At 35.9% G+C, this 19,138-nt stretch overlaps 1 protein-coding gene across 3 annotated transcripts in view; it reads right to left on the bottom strand.

Annotated features, from left to right (window-relative positions):
- The window catches only part of LNPEP (leucyl and cystinyl aminopeptidase), a 101,434-nt gene that overhangs the window by 17,271 nt on the left and 65,025 nt on the right, over positions 1–19,138 (bottom strand). For all 3 annotated transcript variants that reach the window (NM_005575.3, XM_047417177.1, NM_175920.4), the window contains exons 9-13: positions 16,697–16,828; positions 14,010–14,170; positions 13,728–13,816; positions 6,412–6,595; positions 5,148–5,304 (exon numbers count right to left, since the gene is read on the bottom strand). In NM_005575.3, the coding sequence (NP_005566.2) occupies positions 5,148–5,304; positions 6,412–6,595; positions 13,728–13,816; positions 14,010–14,170; positions 16,697–16,828 (723 nt within the window). The remainder of the gene's footprint in view (positions 1–5,147; positions 5,305–6,411; positions 6,596–13,727; positions 13,817–14,009; positions 14,171–16,696; positions 16,829–19,138) is intronic.

Raw genomic sequence — 19,138 nt, 5'->3', positions numbered from 1 at the left:
CCACTGTCAATACCTAAAATGAATCCTATTTGGAAATTTTTAAACTATTAAGACCATTATCCTAGCAATGACTTACTGTGAATAAGCATCTTGTGGAGTTGAATATGAGAATAGAAAAAAAGAATCTGCAAGGAAAAGAACTCAAGGTTTGTATAACATGTCAACTCGCTTGTGTTTGTTTCAAAAGCAATGAAACACAGAACAGACACCTTGTGGAATGTGTAAGTGGTAAAGCTTTTGAGTCACTGGGAGGACATGAAGTAGAAAAATACTTGCTACGCTGACGATGCAAGGAACGGACAAGCAATGCAGGGGATCCCACTTGACATACCTAACTGCATTGTTATGTGGTGTCTTCACTGGCCTTACCTTCTCAATAGCATTATGATAGAAAACCATTCCAAATGACTGGAGAACAAAAGAAATTCAAATCCTACTCATAACTGTCAAATAGGAACAAATGAAGAATGTGAGAAAAAAAATCACATGCTTGAAATCTTATTTAAAAAAAAAATCAGTGAAGAACAATGGCAATACTCATTGAGAGTTTACTAAAACACAAAGGCAGCAATGGAAAGAATGGCACTTGAAGTCCTGGAAGCAAAGGAAATCTGACACTTGAAGATGGCTGTGGCTAATTCCTGAGCAGTTACACCACCGAATTACAGGGAGCAATTTTACTAGTTAGTCTCCATATGAAATCATTAAGGCAAGTTCTCAAAATAGTTGTTTAAATGTATTTCAAATTATAACATAATAAAGTAAAACATTTTAAGAAAGAATAATTATATTATTAGAAAAATCCTGTTACAAAATATCATTTTTATAAGTAATCCAGGTTTATTTTTAATATTAATTAATATTAATGAGGCATAGCATGTGCTTCAAATTACCTTTCCCTTTTAGAAATAAAATGAAATGTTTTTCTAAGGATCCAAATTAATTTTTTTGAAATTTAAGCTCTTTCAACAATAGAATGCAACTCTATGATTTTACAAAGTGAAATGGCAAGTGGAGAGAGGAAATAAATTGATGGGTTATACAAGCTACAAACACTGGATTTGTAATAAAATGCAATAACAACAATATAAAATTATTTTAAAAATAAAACAGGGAAAGATGCTAGCACTTATGTTGTATATTACATTTTGATTTACTGCTTTAATTTTACACTGATATGCCCAGGGAGTTCTTTCCTGGGTCAACTGAGTTTCTTAAAAGTGAAATGTCAGTTTTTATTGCAAAAGGTTTATCCCACCAATGCCTCATATGTAAAAGAATGACAGATTTGTAAGTGATAAAACAGGAATATGGCTAGGATCAGATGTTAACATCAGATGTGAACAATTTAACACAATTGAAATGTGCCTCCAGACCCTACCCATCACAACACTACAGCATCACAAAATGCAGCATATGTCATGTGCAGCCTACATAACAAAATGACCAATAAATGTACATAATGCTTTGGTTCCAATGATATAGAAGTTAATTAGAAATCAGTCTTAGACAGTAATACATTTGAACGTCATATCCAAGGATTCATAAATGTCTCCTATCCCAATTCCTAACTGTAGAATGTCAGATTTCCTAGTTTGAGAGTATTGATGCTACCAGAATTTTCACCCTAATATTAGAATAAGAATGTTAAAGTGACACATTCTCCCTCTTGGTGAGCTAAAGTTAACTGGGCTTTTAGCTAACCATGTGAAGACACACAGCAGTAAAAGGGCGTCCAATCTTGGAAACACATACTAAGTCTTCTGCCCTTCCTCTCTATCCATCAGTCCCTAGATCCCTCCTTGAAGTATGTTCCTAATAAACACATATCTGCCCAGAAAGCTGGAAATCATCTGGGATGAAGATGCAGTTCAAAGAAGAGGTAAGTATCAAGTGCTTCTTGAGCACTAAGCTATAAACAGAGTTAACAGAGAGGCAAGCAGAAGACTGACTTCTGCCATTATGAAGTTTAACTGGGCAGCTTCAGAGTCGGGAGATATTCTGCCTCCTCACAGGGTATATTCAGAACTAACATTGCCCTTTAATAGTGAAAAAAAGTGAGTGATATGCACTAATCTTATTTATTGCTACCTGTACTAGGTTGAATAGTATCCCCTCAAATTTTGTGTCTGCCTGGGACCTATGAATATGACCTCATTTAGGAATAGGGTCTTTGCAGGTACAATCAAGTTAAGATGAGGTCATACTGGATTATGGTGGGCCTTAATCTAAGAATGGGGCAATTTGGGCACAGAAACACAGGGAGAACACTGTGTTGACAGAGACAAAGGCCACGGTTAGTCACCTACATGCCCAGGAATACCAAGGATTACTGGCAATCACTTGAAGTTAGGAGAGGGGAATGGAACAGATTCTTCCTCAGAAGGAGCAAACCTTACTCTGCCAATACCTTGATTTTGGCCTTCTGGCTTCCAGAACTATGAGAGAATAAATTTCTGTTATTTTAAGACATCAAGTTTGCAATAACTTGTTTTAATAGCCCTAGAAAATTAATATACTACCCCAAATGGTGTTGATATCATACTAATTACCTCAAACATAATTCTATGCAATAAAATATACTGGTCCTGGGGATAACTGGATATCCATACTGAAAAGAATGAATCTTGGTGTCTACCTCACACCATCCACAAAAATCAATTCCAGATGGATCACAGATCTAAATGTAAAGGATAAAATGATAAAGTTTTCAGAAGAGAACAGAGAATATCTAGGGGTAGGAAAAGATTTCATAAGCTAGATTACATTAAAATTTAAAACTCATATTAATAAAAAATCATTAAGAGAGTAAAAAAAAGCAAGATGGAGTGGGAGAAGATATTTGCAAATATACATGACCAACAAAAGATTCATATCTAGGATATATACAGAACTCTTACAAATCAACAAGAAAAAGGCAGACGATTTAATAGAAAAATAAGCAAAAGATGGGCATTTTACAAAAGAACATCTAATGGTCAATACATATATCAAAAAGAAAATCATCTTCACATCAGTAGAAAAATGTAAATTCAAGTCAAAATTGCAGTACCACTATGCACCTATCCACATGGCTAAAATAAAAAAGATTTAGTGTGAATGATAATCATCAGAAAAGATCTAGAGCACCTAGAATTCTCATATACTGCTAAGTGTAAATTGGTACAACTTTGAAGAACTATTTGATAGTACACTATTAACTATGCATGTGTTATGACTCAATAATCCCATTTCCAGACATATATCCCATAGAAATGCATAAAGACATTCATCGAAGACATCATAGCAGTGCTATTCATGATAGCTCCAAACTACAAATAACGCAAATGTCTATCAACAATAGCTGAACTGGTTAACTAATGGCCAATCTCTTTACTACACTAACACTAGAAAGTCGATATTGGATTCCCAGTTTGCCCTAAAGAGATGAGTAAGCTATTTGCATACTTCTTGGAAAGGCACATAAATATTGTTTTAAAAAGTCATTATTAGCATTTTAGATATAAAAAAAATCTCTTAAGTTGACAATTTCATTTTTAGGAGAACAACTAGATGTGGGCCAGTCACTTGAAACCTTAAATATATGGTCTGCAAGCTTTTCAAAAGAATATGACAAGAAGAAAGCTTTAATTTTTCTAAAGGTATCCTGGAAAGACGACGTTGCTAGGACACAAATTGATTTTACAAATAGCAATATAACAGAAACAGAAGTCTTTGGAGTGAAATTTATCTGGGTTTGAATTTCAGCTTTATCACTTACTAGGTAAGTGACTTTAAAGAAGCTATTCCGTCTCCTCGTTTATTTAATGGGGGTAGAAATATCTACCTTGGCACTGTGTGATAATTAAATGAGGTAATCTACATTAAGCACTAAGCACGGTGTGTAAAAGCACTCAAATGCACTTGTTTCTGGTGTGTTTCAATCATTTATTCACTCAACGTTTACTGAGTGTCACTACAGGCCAGGTCATGTTCCAGGCACTGGTTTTTATTAAGGCTGCTAGCTGAAAGCCTTATGAAATAGAAAATGATAAAAATCTTAACCATTAGAAGAGACCTCAGAAAATCATCTAACTTAAGCATCTTGCTTATGGATAGGGATGGGGTAACTCCTTTGGGGTCAGATCAGAAACTTTTGGGGGAGAAAAGCTTTTCAAGCTCCATACATCCACTCTGCCCTGCGTTCCCTCCATTCACTGAGAATCATGCAGGTGATGAGAGAACTGTTCATAGGAGACGCAGGGTAAGGCAGTAACAGAGGCAGAAAGAAGGTTGTGTACATATGTAACAAACCTGCACATTGTGCACATGTACCCTAGAACTTAAAGTATAATAAAAAAAATGTTAAAAAAATGATTTAATCCAACCCCTTCCTTTCACCAATGAGAATACCAAAACCCCAAAAGACTTATTCTAATTCTTGGTCTAATACTGCCTTCCTTTCCCTAAAAGCTGCCTTTTGCCTGGGTCCCTGGGAAATCTCACTAGTTTATAAAGCAAACTCTGTTGTCAAAATGCGCTGATTCAGAGAATTAGATAAAAACAAATAATTTTTCACTCTCTTCCAAGCTTTTAAAGTCTCTCAACAGTTTAATATTAAAAGTATCCAAAATAACAACTGTTAAGATCAGGCAGTTGATATTAAGAAAGGTAAAATGGTCTCTAATACTAAGACTCCTTTAGTGCTTTGCAAAGAAACATATCCACCAGCATCATTATCCTTTAGATAGTTATCAGTAAGAACCCTTAAACAGAATATTCTCAATACAAACGTAACTGTCATTTTATAATGACCACTAGAAAATTAATGGGGAGATCTACTTTGCAAAAGGGCCTATTTCAAACATTCATCATGTAGAAATAAAACAGGATCTGAATAGAGAAATATTATTCTCATGTGACCTCATTTTGACAGTGGTGTCAAATGTCTGTATTTTGATATTCAAACAAGACCATATCATACTAAGCCTTTATCAGCTCTTCATCATAAGCAACATCTTGATTTTAAGTAAAGATTTCACAAGCAGGAAAGTGAAGAAAATGGAATTTAACTGGTTGCTTTTTCAGCCTATTACTGGCTGAAAATGGAACCATGAATAACAATATTAAAGATAAACAGCAAGAAGCTGGCAAAAAGGCAGACTTACCACCAGTCTTGAGGCCAGATCCATGTATCCCAGTTTTTCAAGGAGGTTATAGATGAGGTCTGTCTGAAACAGGGCTTCGGTGATGGGTGCAGTATGGTTCTCATTTCCAAGATAATTAATCAAATCAAAGGCCCTCTTGAGAGGTACCTTGCCTAGGCTAAAGGATAAAAGAACAGGAAAAGTAAATATGCAGAGACACACAGAAGAAGTCTATGCATGCTAAAAGAGAAACTTAGGGTTAGATGGTGAGTCTTGGAGACCAAAAATTTAAACTTACAGTGGCATTTTGTAAAGTTAAGCTAAATATGATTATCTCTGATTAATTTCATGAGGCCCAAGATTAAAGAGGCATTTCAAGAGAAAGATAAACAATAGCTCATTTTTTTTTATTCCTAAGTCTCCTGTAAATTGCTACTAACTCAGCAAAAGTATAATATCTTGGGTTAGAAAAGATGAATAGTACTAATTTTATTTATTAATTAGTTATATTTGCCAGGAAAGAGAGTATAGCATAGAGAGTATCTGATTTCTTTTTTTAATTTTATTTGTTGGTTTAATGGGAATTTGTTTTTCAAACTTGTTATGACAAGGTCTATTGTGAATTTACAGTGAGTACATTTTTAAAATTAACCATTTTATAGGAATCACAGCAGCAATGGCTAGGATGACGTAAGAAGGGCACTTCATAAAAAACGAGACAAAATGGAAATGCCCAGGGAGATGAGAAGGAACACGTCAGTGTTTTTAAGCCTATCATCAATCTAAATTGGTAATATTCTATTCAGAGAATATGTTTACATGAGGTCACTGTCATCCTTGGCTTTGGGATTCTATAATGCATGAGGTGGTTGGGGAGGCAAGCAGTACAGATAAGGTGGCTCCAGCCATCAGAGATGTCCCTCAAAACCAATGCATAAGCACTAAGCTTCATGCTTAAACCAACTGCTGTTTGAAAATAATTCTCTTATAAAATAAAATAGAGCTTGAACTCGTGTATCAAGTTTAGTCAACAAAATATGTATCCTGTTTTTGATATCTAGTCTTGAATTATTATTAAATCCTGTTTCATTTAACTGTTCAGTATGTTCGTAGCTAATGTTTTATAAAGTCCCTGGAGGCAAAGAACACATATTTTCCCAATCCTCCAAAATGTATTGTACCAACCAATACATGCTAGTTCTTTCAAACTGTTTTTCATATATGTTCTTTACCTCAATGACATTTGTTTAAAAAAAGAAAAAATCTCAAACTAAGTATACTCTACCCTGCAAGTTCAAAGATGTTGTTGATAAGGTTGGCTCGGTCTTTGTCACTCAGAACATAAGGATTTATTTTCAACTGATGGATTAGTGCTTCCCAATCATCATCTGCATAGTGTACAATATAATAACCATTCATGTTTATATTCACTTTGACCCACAGCACTTCTTCTGTAAGATTGATGACACCTAATGGAAACCAAAAAAATGAGAGATTGAGAGAGAAGACAATTGGACAAGAAAAAAAAATTATGAGTGCTTTGTTTTTTAGTTTATTTTTATATTTAATCATTCTAGTAAGAAAAAAATGCCTGTCTCCAAGTACAGTTATTTTCACGTTAGTGAAGGTCAAGACATTCATTTAACAATTATTTATTTACTGTGCAATATTGGCTGTAAGCTAGGTGCTGGAAATCAAATGGTGAACAAGGTAGATATGTCTCTGCTTTTAGAGATCTCACAGTCTAAAGTAAACAGGCAAGTACAATATCATACAAGCGCTATTGACAGAAAAAGAAAAGACAGCATTCAACGAATGCACATAGAAAAAATGCTTCCCTCTCCTAGGGAAAGTTAGGAGCGATTTCTTGGAAGAAATGACATCTAAGTTGTCATTCTTCTAAGAGACCTCAAAATATGTAGGTGTTGGCCAAGTGAAGAAGATATAGTAGGGAACCCAAGTGCTCAAGGCCCAGAGAGAAAGTATACATGTTATCCATGCACTGAACTGGCTCCCAAGTTCATTATGGCTAGAGGAAAGAGGGAGGGAGAAAGTAAAGGTGTAGGATGAGGCAGCAGGGGAAGACAGTGAGAGAACTGTGTAAAATGTGTCCCATTTTGGCCTCTGTCTTTTGTCATGTTAGCAAAGGAAGAACAAACAAAGCCATTTAGAAAAGTCACATTATTTAAAGCTAGCAAAATAAACATTAGGGAAGGCTTAAGATTGCATAAGGGACAAATAAGAAATAATTGGGTTAAAACAATAGGAAAGGATAGGCACTTCTGGGGTCTCTACTATAAATGCTGAGAGAACTGTTAGAAATTTCCATGGAATTATGTCAACTAATGTACCAATAATGAAGCGCTGAGAGTTAACTGACCACAAAATATATGTATGAATTTTTAAAATCCTTAAAACTGCTAATGAAGAAATGTCTTTTAAAGTTGGCAACAAGGATGTAGACTTAATTATAATGGGGTATGCTTCTAAGCATCTTGAGGTTTACTATTATTTAATAGAATATAAGCTACATAAGCTTACTATTTTGCTTACTGCTAACGCCTCAGCCCCTATAACAATGACCTAGCAGGTACTCAACAAATACTGCTGAATTAGTCAGTGAATGAATAAATAATGACTATGTCACAATAAATAGTTTTAAATCAAGTGTAGACAAAGGTTTGTAGATATTTATTATATAATTTTTACCCCCTTTTAAAGTAACAAATACTTAAAAAAATTTTTAATTGTAAGAAAAAGAAGAGTAGAGATAAGAATAATCTAAACTCAGACGATGATAGCATTTTGGAATGTACTTCTTGCCAAGTTTTTGTCTTATACTTGTTTTTAATATTTTATACAGCAGATCTATATGCATTTATTTTATCCTTTTTCACCTATCAGATCCCCCCGCACATTTTTCCATTGTCTTCATAAGCAGTGTTCAAATATCTTCATAATATTTCATTTCAAGTTTATCCAATCTATTTTGAACAATTTAGGCTGTTTTAAAATGTTCACTATCATTATAATTCTGTAGTGAAGGTTTTTTATATAAAATGCTTTATAAATATGTTTTCAACCTAAAGATTATATATTAGTACCTGAAGCCTTAGCTTAGGTACTAAAGATTATATATTAGTACCTGAAACCTTAGGATTTATCAATTTCAAAAACATGAATTATTCAAATGTGTCAGATGCCCTTAATATCTTTGTTATTCCAATTATATCGATACTGCAAAAGATGTTTAAGATGAAAAAGACATTCTGATCATGTCTTAACAGGACATAATAAGCTAAGCAGTCTTTCTTACTAAAAAAATTCCGTACTTATTTCTGTTATATTGCTGATACAGCAACAGATGGGAAAGATCAGTTAAATAAGGTTTATTCCTTTTTCAAGGGCAGAATGCAGTTTTAAGGGATACTTGTGATGGCAGCAGTGGCTGCTCCAAGTTGAAGCCATTTTTAGCAAACCTATGACTAAGGAAATTAACTTTATCATTAGCTAATCCAAAAATATCAACACTCTCCAGGTCACCAAACACTATATCCTATGGAGCTTTTATCAAGAAAGAACCCTAGGGCTGGGCATGGCAGCTCACACCTGTAATCCCAGCACTCTGAGAGACCAAGGCAGGAGGATCACTTGAGCCCAGGAGTTTGAGAGCAGCCTGGACAACATAGTGAGACATCATCTTTACAAAAAATAAAAATTAGCCCGCATGGTGACACATGTCTGTAGTCCCAGCTACTCAGGAGGCTGAGGTAGGAGTATCACTTGAGGTCAACTATCACTAGGTCAAGGCTGCAGTGAGCTATGATCATGCCACTGTACCTTAGCCTGGGTGACAGAGCAGGACCCTGTCTCTAATAAAAACAAACGTAAAGAAAAGAAACAACCCCAGAAAGAAGGGCTACAGAGACCCAAGTCTCCCTTGCCCATAAAAGGAGACAAGAAATGATGGCTATGACAATTGTTCCACTAGATGGATGCAGAAAACATTGAAATACATACGGAATACCTTGGTTGATAAGCAGCTTGCCATGTTGTAAACCTAGCCAAGTCCAGATGGTAAAGAGGAGGGACACAGCTGGGAATATACTTGAAATTATTACTGTCATCGAGATGACACAACATAAAGCAGTACAGCCAACAGCACAAAGACAGACAGAGTTATCATTTAAAGAATCAACATCATTAGTCTCTTTCAGTTCTTCTGAATGATCCAGAATGGTGGACCTTAAAACCACAGGTATTGAAAAATAATAGCTTTGCACACAAGGGAAGTAACTACATCCTACAGCTCAAACGTGGATGAAGCTACCCTCATATGTTTTTAATTTACTATAGTCATCAACAGATTAACACTTCAATTTTCAGTCTATTGAGTAGCAAAAAAGAGTGAGCAACTGCAATATTAAATGGCAGAAGCCCAGATGAAGTAATCTAACAGTGATTTTTAAAAACCATTTGTCAATGAGCTACGAAAATCAACTACTGTTTTACAAAAAAACTAAAGTTCTGAAACTAAAAAACCCGTTTTTACTACAAAGTTACAAAATTTCCTGTACAGTTTGCTCCAGAGGGCTAGCATCATACATGCTATTGAACTTTATCACTCCTGTTCAAAAGCATTCCCTTCTCTAATACCCCTTTCTTTCTCCTTTATTAGGGGAAAAAAAGGCAAGAGCAGAGAATGGCACATGATAAATATTTTAATTACTATATGCCCTTCCTTCTTTCATCCTAATTACCTTTTCTTCCAATGACATATCTTTAACTTTCACAGCAGTATTTCTGATAGTGATATCCATTTGGAAACATGAATGTTTTGCATTAGATTTAATACGAAAATCTCCTATAGTTAAAGATCTTAGGTCTGAGTAAAATGTGGATAAGAAAGAGAGAGAGAGAGGGAGGAAGAAAGGGAAGAGGGAAACTTTAAAAAATATAATTCCTCAATATGTAAACTGGAAAAATGGCCCCATCAGCATTTCTTGTGCACAATAAATACTAATTGTTCAAAACTCATGTATGTGAGAAAAGGAGACAAATACATTGACCAAACATAACTCTTATATACAACTGAACTAATGAACTAACCCAACAACCCTTGAATTAGAACACATGAAAATATATTTAAAAAAAGAAAGAAAATATATTAAAGATTTAACCAACCATCAAGCATCAAAATAATACACTATACTAAAGTATTACAGCATAAAAGAAGCCTGAAGTCACCCTCTCTGCTACCTTTCTTTTGAGAATAGAAAAAATAAAAATGCAGTTAAATTAAGAGTAATTCTCACTGGAGCATTAGGAACCAAGAAGGCTCAGCTGTCCTCAGGGTCAAACGTAAGGACAGAAGTTTTCATGTGGACTCTCTAAACCCGAAATGGCAGGAATTAAAATAGCAGCAGCAGCAGCAAGGGAAATAACACAGTTGAGAAGAGGAAGTAACAGACACTACTTTCATCATGTATTGGCCCAGTTCCAGCTCTAGATTAAATCAATTATATTCTAGTGAATTTTGTATATTCCTCTTTACTAAGAAGAGGAAGAGAAAAAGAAAACATCATTTTATCAGGCTTTGCATGTTCTTTTCCTAGAAATTTTTATAGTGAGACTGGAGTCACTTCATTATGGACTAAAATTTACTAATTCATTAAGTTTTTGTGTGCCTACTAAGTGCTAAAAGTGATTTACAGTGATTCATATAGCCATGATCACTACCGTCAATGGGGGAAATACCTAATATGAGGATAGATATGAGTGAACAGTACTTACAGTATATTATGAGTGGAGAAGTAGAGAATGTTATTAAAAAACCTAAGTAGGGCATCTAAACTGTCTTCAGGGAAGGAAAGGTTTCCTGGAGCAAGCAATGGCTGAGCTAAGATCTGAAGAATAAACAGGAGTAGGCCGAGGGAGTGAGGAGGCAAGGGTGTTCCTTAAGGAGAGAAAATAGCATATGCAAAGACCTAAAGAGGCAGTATGGCATGTTTGAGTTGCTGATAGAATTTTTGTGCGGCAAAAGCACAGAATGCCAGGTAAGGGCCTAGAAGGCTAAAGCAGTAAAATATGAGCTAGTCTATGGGGTTAAACTCTCAAAAAGAGCTCAACAAGCTCAGAATAAACTCAGGTAAAGAGTAAAGAGGAGGGTGGGCACAGTGGCTCACGCTTGTAATCCCAGCACTTTGGGAGGCCGAGGTGGGCGGATCACGAGGTCAGGAGATCGAGACCATGGTGAAACCCCGTCTCTACTAAAAATATAAAAAATTAGCCGGGCATGGTGGCAGGCGCCTGTAGTCCCAGCTACTCAGGAGGCTGAGGCAGGAGAATGACGTGAACCCGGGAGGCGGAGCTTGCAGTGAGCTGAGATCGCGCCACTGCACTCTCACCTGGGCAACAGAGCGAGACTCTGTCTCAAAAAAAAAAAAAAAAAAAAGAGTAAAGAGGAGCCAGGTGCGGTGGCTCATGCCTGTAATCCCAACACTTTGGGAAGCCAAAGCAGGAGGATCACTTGAGGCCAGGGGTTTGAGACCAGCCTGGGCAACATAGTGAGGCCCTGTCTCTACAAAAAATACAAAAATTAAGCCAAGCATGGTGATACATGCCTGTGGTCCTAACTTCTTGGCAGGCTGAGGCAGGAGGATTGCTTGAACCCAGGGGTTTGAGGCTGCAGTGGGCTATGATATTGTCACTGCACTCCAGCCTGGGCAACAGAGCAAGACTCCAACTCAAAAAAAAAAAAAAAAAAAAAAAAAAAAAAACAAGAAAAAACAAACAAAAAAATCAACCAATGAAACAAAAAACAGATAATAAAAGCAGATTTCTTATTGCCCAATTATTTCTAATAGCACTGAAAATTAATATACTATCAGAAAGTTTGCAAAATTTCCTTATTAGTTTCTTGCAAATACTCCAGCCATGTTTTAGCTGTGCTTCAGGATATAGGGAGATGGGGTTATTTGTTCTCTCTTGGGTTAGAGACTATCCTTTTACGGCTCATTCAAAGTTAGAGTTTTGTTTACTCAAAGACAGTAGCAATTCCTTGTACTTCCAGCTATGCTATCAAAGATATGATGACATTACCAACTACCACTAGGATTTTAAATAATTAGATTGTTGCTGCTTTAACACTCCACTATGGTAAAACTGCAATGAAACTGGCACATTCATGTATTTCAGGTGGCATTATCAACTGTAACTACACAATAAAAAGGGCGATTTGGTTATATGTACCAAATCACAAAAGGTACTGCAGTCTTCATTTTTGAAAAGCATTCCTTAAAAAATTTCATATAATGGAAAAACCTTTAAGATTTGAAATATTTAATTAAGGCAATATTTTATAACAACAAATGGTGAATCAAGTAGGTTAAGTCAATTACTATATATGTTAAGTTAAAAAAGGCAAGATACAGAAATCATATATACATAATGATTTTGACTAAGTACAAATATTTATTAAAAATGACTATAAACAAATAATCATAAGAATAGTTTTGATAGGGTAATAAGATTTGCTCTCCATTTTCAAGGTTTTATGTAATATAGATATATTAAAGATTTACTTTTTCAATAACGTTAATGATAGTTAACATTAATACAGCACATAATATGTGCCAGGCATTGTTCTAGGTGCTTCATATAAATGAACTCATTTAATCCTCACCACAACTACATAAAGTAAGTATAATTACTATCTCTTTTGTACAGCTGAGGGAATGAGGCTCACATAACTCGCCTAAAATCATATAAGTGATCAATGGTACTGCTAAGAATTGAACCCGGCAGTCTCTAAAGTCTCATTCTCTTACCACTAAGCTACACTCACCCCTCAAAAATATAGGCTTTGACACCAGATCCAAATTCAAACGAGAAATTTTCCCTTTTCTTCAATCCAAAGCATCACTAACGGGTCCTACAGAACCCAAGAGCCTTGTGTTTCTTTAGGATGTAAATTAAAAGGAAGATATGTGGTGTGACATTCATAGTGGTATTTAACAAATGGCCCAAAATTACATTTCAATTGCTTTTTATATTGTAGGTCAGCATACACCACGTTTATATTTTACTATTCCCCTCCCCCTTCCTATCATAGTTTCATGCCCCATTTTCTTGTTCCCCAAAACATATACTATGTCTGCAGGGCATATTGCAATAACTATTTACTCTAAATCCAATCATGAATAAACCTCAATTATACACACAAATCATTTAGGGTGTATCTTGTTAAAATGCAGTTGCCTCAGCCCAACCCTAGACAGTAGATAGCAGAGGATACTTTAAGAAACTCCTCTTATTTTGTAACAAAATATTAATCTTGGGTATAAAAACATGGCATTCGCTATTTTCTTTCAGGAATGCCAGTACATTCTCTGCAAATTTTTGTACCTTATTTCACATGGCTAAAAGCCAGTTTTGTGCATGATATACAGAATCAATCTCACATTAGTCACATCTTGCATATGCAACTCATAAAACCAGTTCAGAGAGTGTGCACACTGGAAAGTGTAATCTTATATATGCACTCTGATCAGATTTTTAAAATTATGCCATTTCCAATCAGAACTGTCATTATAGTCAAACCTGATTTCTTATCCAGTAATGATACCGATTGATATTTTGAATAATTTCTTCCTTCAGTGACATAGGATAGTGGAATATGCCACAGGTAGCTGTAAAGAGAAAACATTGGAAAATTAGTTACATATGATTTTTTTTTTTTTTTAATTTGGTAGGAAGGTTAAGCTATTCCTAGGAAGGGATAATCTTGTTAGGTTTCACAAGAACTTATGATTATAAAACACTTAAAAATATTTCCACCTGAGAGTGCAAAAGAGATGGCATGAAAAGAAAGAGGGCATGTACCTTGTATCTGAAGGCTGAATTTCAGGCTTCATATTTAAAAAGAATCTCTCTTGTTGTATAAAAAGTTCCTTTCCTTTCTTTTGAACAGTCACTAAAGGAAATCCTTTCTGCAGGGTCCAGGTTTTCATCATTCTCTTTACATCTAGTGTTTGGTTTGTGACCTACAAAATATATATATATATATATAAAACTTTTTCCTTAAAAATAAAAATTGGTTTAAAAAATTTTACATTTTAATTTATCTGTACCCTTCCCTCTTTTCCTACCATCTATAAAGACTACATTTAATGTTAATATAAAAAAGAAACATGAATGTTGAGTTTACACTTCTAATCTAGGTAAATGAGCAACTGCTAAAAGGAATGTAACCTGGAACAGAGCTAAGTGATAGCTAAGGGAGTGAGGGAGGCACTAGGTTGAGAAGTGGCACATATATCAACCAACTAAGAATTCATTAAAATCCCTAAATTCATCAAGTTAAAATCCCTAAGAAGGTATAAGTATTCTTTCAAATCACAATACTAACATCTACAAGATATGAATAATGATATACAGTCTAGAATCAGAAACACTGCTACTCAATCCTGTGAAGCACCTGAGTCTGGGTTTCTCTTTATGCTCCTACCCTCCACCTCCACAATGATAGTCTCTTAGGACCTAATACTGTGGGAGTGCCAGGGAGCAGCGGCAGCAGAAGAGTGACATATGAACAGGTCAGTTGCCTTAAGTCTTTCTAGAAAACAGTGGTAAACTACTTTAGTGGTCACAGCCCTTCTTTCCCAGAAAATATATGAAGTTATCTATAAAATCTAGAACCTAGTGTCAGAGCTTTGCAGACCCTCTAAGGCCCAAAGCCCCTAAGACATCTAGTATCAATAACTAAGAAGCAATTTTTGAACAACAGTCTCTTTAAAGCAGGTGGGTTAAACTCAGGATTCAAATTATTTTTCTAGATTATATATGAATTTGAATTGTAAGCAACAAAGTCATGATGTACCTAAATTGATAAAATCACTCTACTATGGCAGGCCTCACCTCAATCACCATATGCCCATTTATTTAAAGCACAAAAGGATGGAGCAAATCTTCCCATTTTAATTAAACTTGTATTTATCATGGCTCTGACCTATTTATTTCTGAACCAGAGGATTAGAAGAAAATAAGCTTGCCTAAAACCAAGGTGCTTTTGGGTGTCGAAGCAGTATTGAAGTGAAGAGGCCAATGCATAATTTGATGTGGGTGCTGAAAAACCTGAGGATAATGTTAGGAACTAGTTTGGGATGGAAAAACACCATGATGCAAAAGTTGCAGTCAATGAGAAAGGCAGAAATATGTTCTAAATGCCAACAGATTAAGACAGTAAGTATAAAGTAAACAATGTGGCTTTCAATTGAAATACTACTATATGATCAGAGGAAAAAAACAATGATTTGGGAACAACTGTTAGGTAATAAGTTCTCAAAGAGAATTCAGAGAGTAGGGAAGGTATATCTTCTGGGCAAAAGACTAACAGCTAGAAAGTATCAGGATTCAGATGAGGCAAAGAAGCAGTAAAGAGTGTATGAGAAAGATCCAGAGCAGGGGTTCCTAACCTAGAGTCAATAAAACTTTGAAACTGTGTGTGATGTTCTGCACATATGTGGTTTTTCTGAGTAATATGGCCAGAACTTTCATCAAATTTCCAAATAAGTCTGTGATCTTTCTTTCTTTTTTTTTTTTTTTGAGACAGAGTCTGGCTCTGTCACCCAGGCTGGAGTGCAGTGGTACAGTCTCGGCTCACTGCAACCTCTGCTTACCAGATTCAAATGATTCTCCTGCCTCAGTCTCCCAAGTAGCTGAGACTACAGGCATGTGCCACCACGTTGGCTAATTTTTGTATTTTTAGTGGAGACGGGGTTTCACCATATTGGCCAGGCTGGTCTCGAACTCCTGATCTCATGATCTGCCTGCCTTGGCCTCCCAAAGTGCTGGGATTACAGGCGTGAGCCACCACGCTCAGTCAAATCTGTGATCTTTCAAAGTATTATGACCCATCAATCTAAATCAGGGTAACAAACACAAATGCTTATAAGGGTTTTGCAGTCAGTATACATGCATGAAGCAGCCCGGGTTCATGTGCTGCTTTGAAGTGTAACTTCTACATAATTACACTGCTTGCTAGAATATTTCCAGGAATGACAAAATTCCAACAGCAAAATCATCCAAGGATAATATGCAGTCAGCTTGTGATGTATCATCTACTCTGGAGGAACAGTCACAAAGGCAAGAGATTCATAGAGCAGAGTACAGAATCATTCAAAAGAGGCAGAAAAACTAAAAGGGTAAGGATAGGAAAAGAGATTTCTGGAAAAAAAGTCAAATAATGAAAATATAGTAATATTCATTAATACGGAGAAGACAACTTTCCTACAAAATAGGAATAGAAGTTAAGGTACAGGAAAAAAAAAAACAACTGGCTACCCAAGCCCACACACGTCTTTTCCAACAACTAAGAACAGCACTCCCATTTCTTGACATAAAATTTAGTGCTCCATTCATAAATATTTATATAGCAAGCTCCATCCCCCCCTTTCTTAAATAACTATGCTTTGTACCACAGATTAACTTACACACATGCTAAAAAGTATAAATAGACGAACTCCTCTCTTTTTACAGTAAGAGCTAAATAAATTACCCAGGTCACTTACCTCATTAAAACTATCCCACAGATCATCACTTTGAATAGATGCATAGCTGTGATTATGCAGGTAAAGGACAACAGCATGTTGAAACACATCTTCACTAAGGTAAGTTTTCAACATCAACAAGAGAGAAGATCCCTATTAAAAAAAAAAGTGAGGAAAAAGAAAGAAAATAATAGAATACTATAGATTATCGAATTGGGAATCTAAAATTCAAACTACAGTCATTCTAAAAATTTACTTTCATATGTAGAACTTAGTTATAATATACTGCTACTTAGTCTCATATAGATGTGGACTGTGTTCAACTGTCTTAAAATTATTTTAAAGGATTTGAAAAAGAATTAATGAGTAGATTCCCATGTGCACTATTCTAACCATGAGTCATTCTGTGTGGTCTATTGGTATACTCACTGTTTCAATGTTAGTGTTGAAAAGCTAAGTATTTATAAAAACATTTTAATAGAAAAACATGCCAAATTTTCTGTGGCACCTACACCTCCATCCCCAGTGCTTAAATCACCCATTGAATTTATTGTGTGCTGGAGACACAATAAATTGACAAGGCTCTCAAAAGTCTCCCTGCTAGGTAGGTCATTAATTTCTTATTTTAGTATATTGTGTTGTGAAGTAACCAGAATCTCTCTTCTTCCTGCAGAGTCACTTCAAATGCTTGGAACTAACAAATGTATAGGGCAGGGAGCATAATATTAAGGCCACACTATATCCATTGATGTGCTTGTCATCATTCGCAATCCTGAAATAAGCACCACCTCCTCTGTGAAGACCTTCCCGGTTTGAAATAGAAATCACATTTCTCCATCTTCAATACAATTTATATGGCATCCTGTATCTGTTACACATTTATTTCCTCATCTATGCAGTAAGCTGAGAGGAAAAAGTGAAAACTCAACTCCAATGACAAAAACAATGCCCACTACATAGTAGGCACTCTAGTAGTTTTTGAATGAATTTCACTTTTGATAAAAATGTAGTAATGTCAAGATTATTGTACACATAACTAAATTATTACCTATTACTCTCATTTCTGTATCACACTTCATAGCTATTACTTGTTCTATAAATTTAAGTACTCACTGTTGTCCCCAACAGTCCTTTCTCTTCTGCATCACCAACTTTTCCCTTCATACTGTAACATGCCCATTAACAAAACAAAAACGATGTAACATTCCTAATTTTAAACAAATAAAAGACTCTCTACCTTTCCCTAACTTCACCCTCCTCGTTACCAACTCGTTACCGTGCTGTTTTTTTGTTCCCCCATTGTAGTAAAACTCCTCAAAAGAGTTGTCCTCAATTTGCCATCTCCATTTGCTCTCTTTCCATTTTCTCTTGAGCCATCTTCTAATCATCACTCTACTGTAAGTATTTATTTATTTATTTATTTATTTTGAGATGAAGTCTCACTCTTGTCACCCAGGCTGGAGTGCAGTGGTGCGACCTCCACTCACTACAACCTCCGCCTCCTGGGTTCAAGCGATTCTCCTGCTTCAGCCTCCTGAGTAGCTGGGATTACAGGCACCACCACCACGCCCAGCTAATTTTTGTATTTTTAGTAGAGACGGGGTTTCACCATGTTGGACAGACTGTTCTTGAACTGCTGACCTCAGGTGATCCACCCACCTTGGCCTCCCAAAGTGCTGGGATTACAGGCGTGAGCTACCATGCCCGGCCGGAAGTATTTTTATCAAGGTCACTGGTAAACTTCCTGGTGCCATACAAATGTGAATTCTCAGGCTCATCTTATCAACCTATTGATAGCATTTGATATAACTGATCACCTGCTCCTCCTTGAGAGCTGCAAGACACTACTCTTGATTCTCTCCCTATTCACTGGCCATCCTTCTCGGTCTCGTCTACTGAATCCTCCTCATCTTCCAATGAAGAAAGTGTGTCCTTGCATCTGATCTTTGGACCCCTTTTCTCTATCTAAATTTCCTTCCTAGTTGATCTCCCAACTCCAAGGTTTCCAAATGATCCCCTGATTTATATATCTAATCAGACTTCTTCCCCCTTGAATTTCAGACCCATATCCAACTGCCTGTGTGGTATCTCCATTTGGATATCTAATCCATATCTCATAGTCACTTAGAAATGGAAGTTTCTTCCCCCTTCTTTCCCTAAACCTACTTCTAAAGCAGTCTTCTCCATTTCAGCAAATGGCAACTCCATTTTTCCAGTTGTTCAGGTAAAAATCTTAAAGTTACCCTGACCCCTCTCTCGTATTTCATATCTAATCCATGAACAAATTCTACTGGATCAATCTTTAAAACACACTCCAAGTCCAGTTGTACCTCCATCACCTTCACAACTTCCACCCTTGTCCAGGCTACCATTATCTCGCCACCCATCTATTACAATAACTTCCTAACTAGTCCTCTTTACTCCATGTACTGTTGAAGACTAGAGTGATCTTTTACAAAATAA

The sequence above is a fragment of the Homo sapiens genome, chromosome 5 (assembly GCF_000001405.40).
Source record: "Homo sapiens chromosome 5, GRCh38.p14 Primary Assembly".
NCBI lineage: Eukaryota > Metazoa > Chordata > Mammalia > Primates > Hominidae > Homo > Homo sapiens.
The sequence above is the reverse complement of the archived record's forward strand: the minus strand, read 5'-3'. Positions and strand labels throughout refer to the sequence as shown.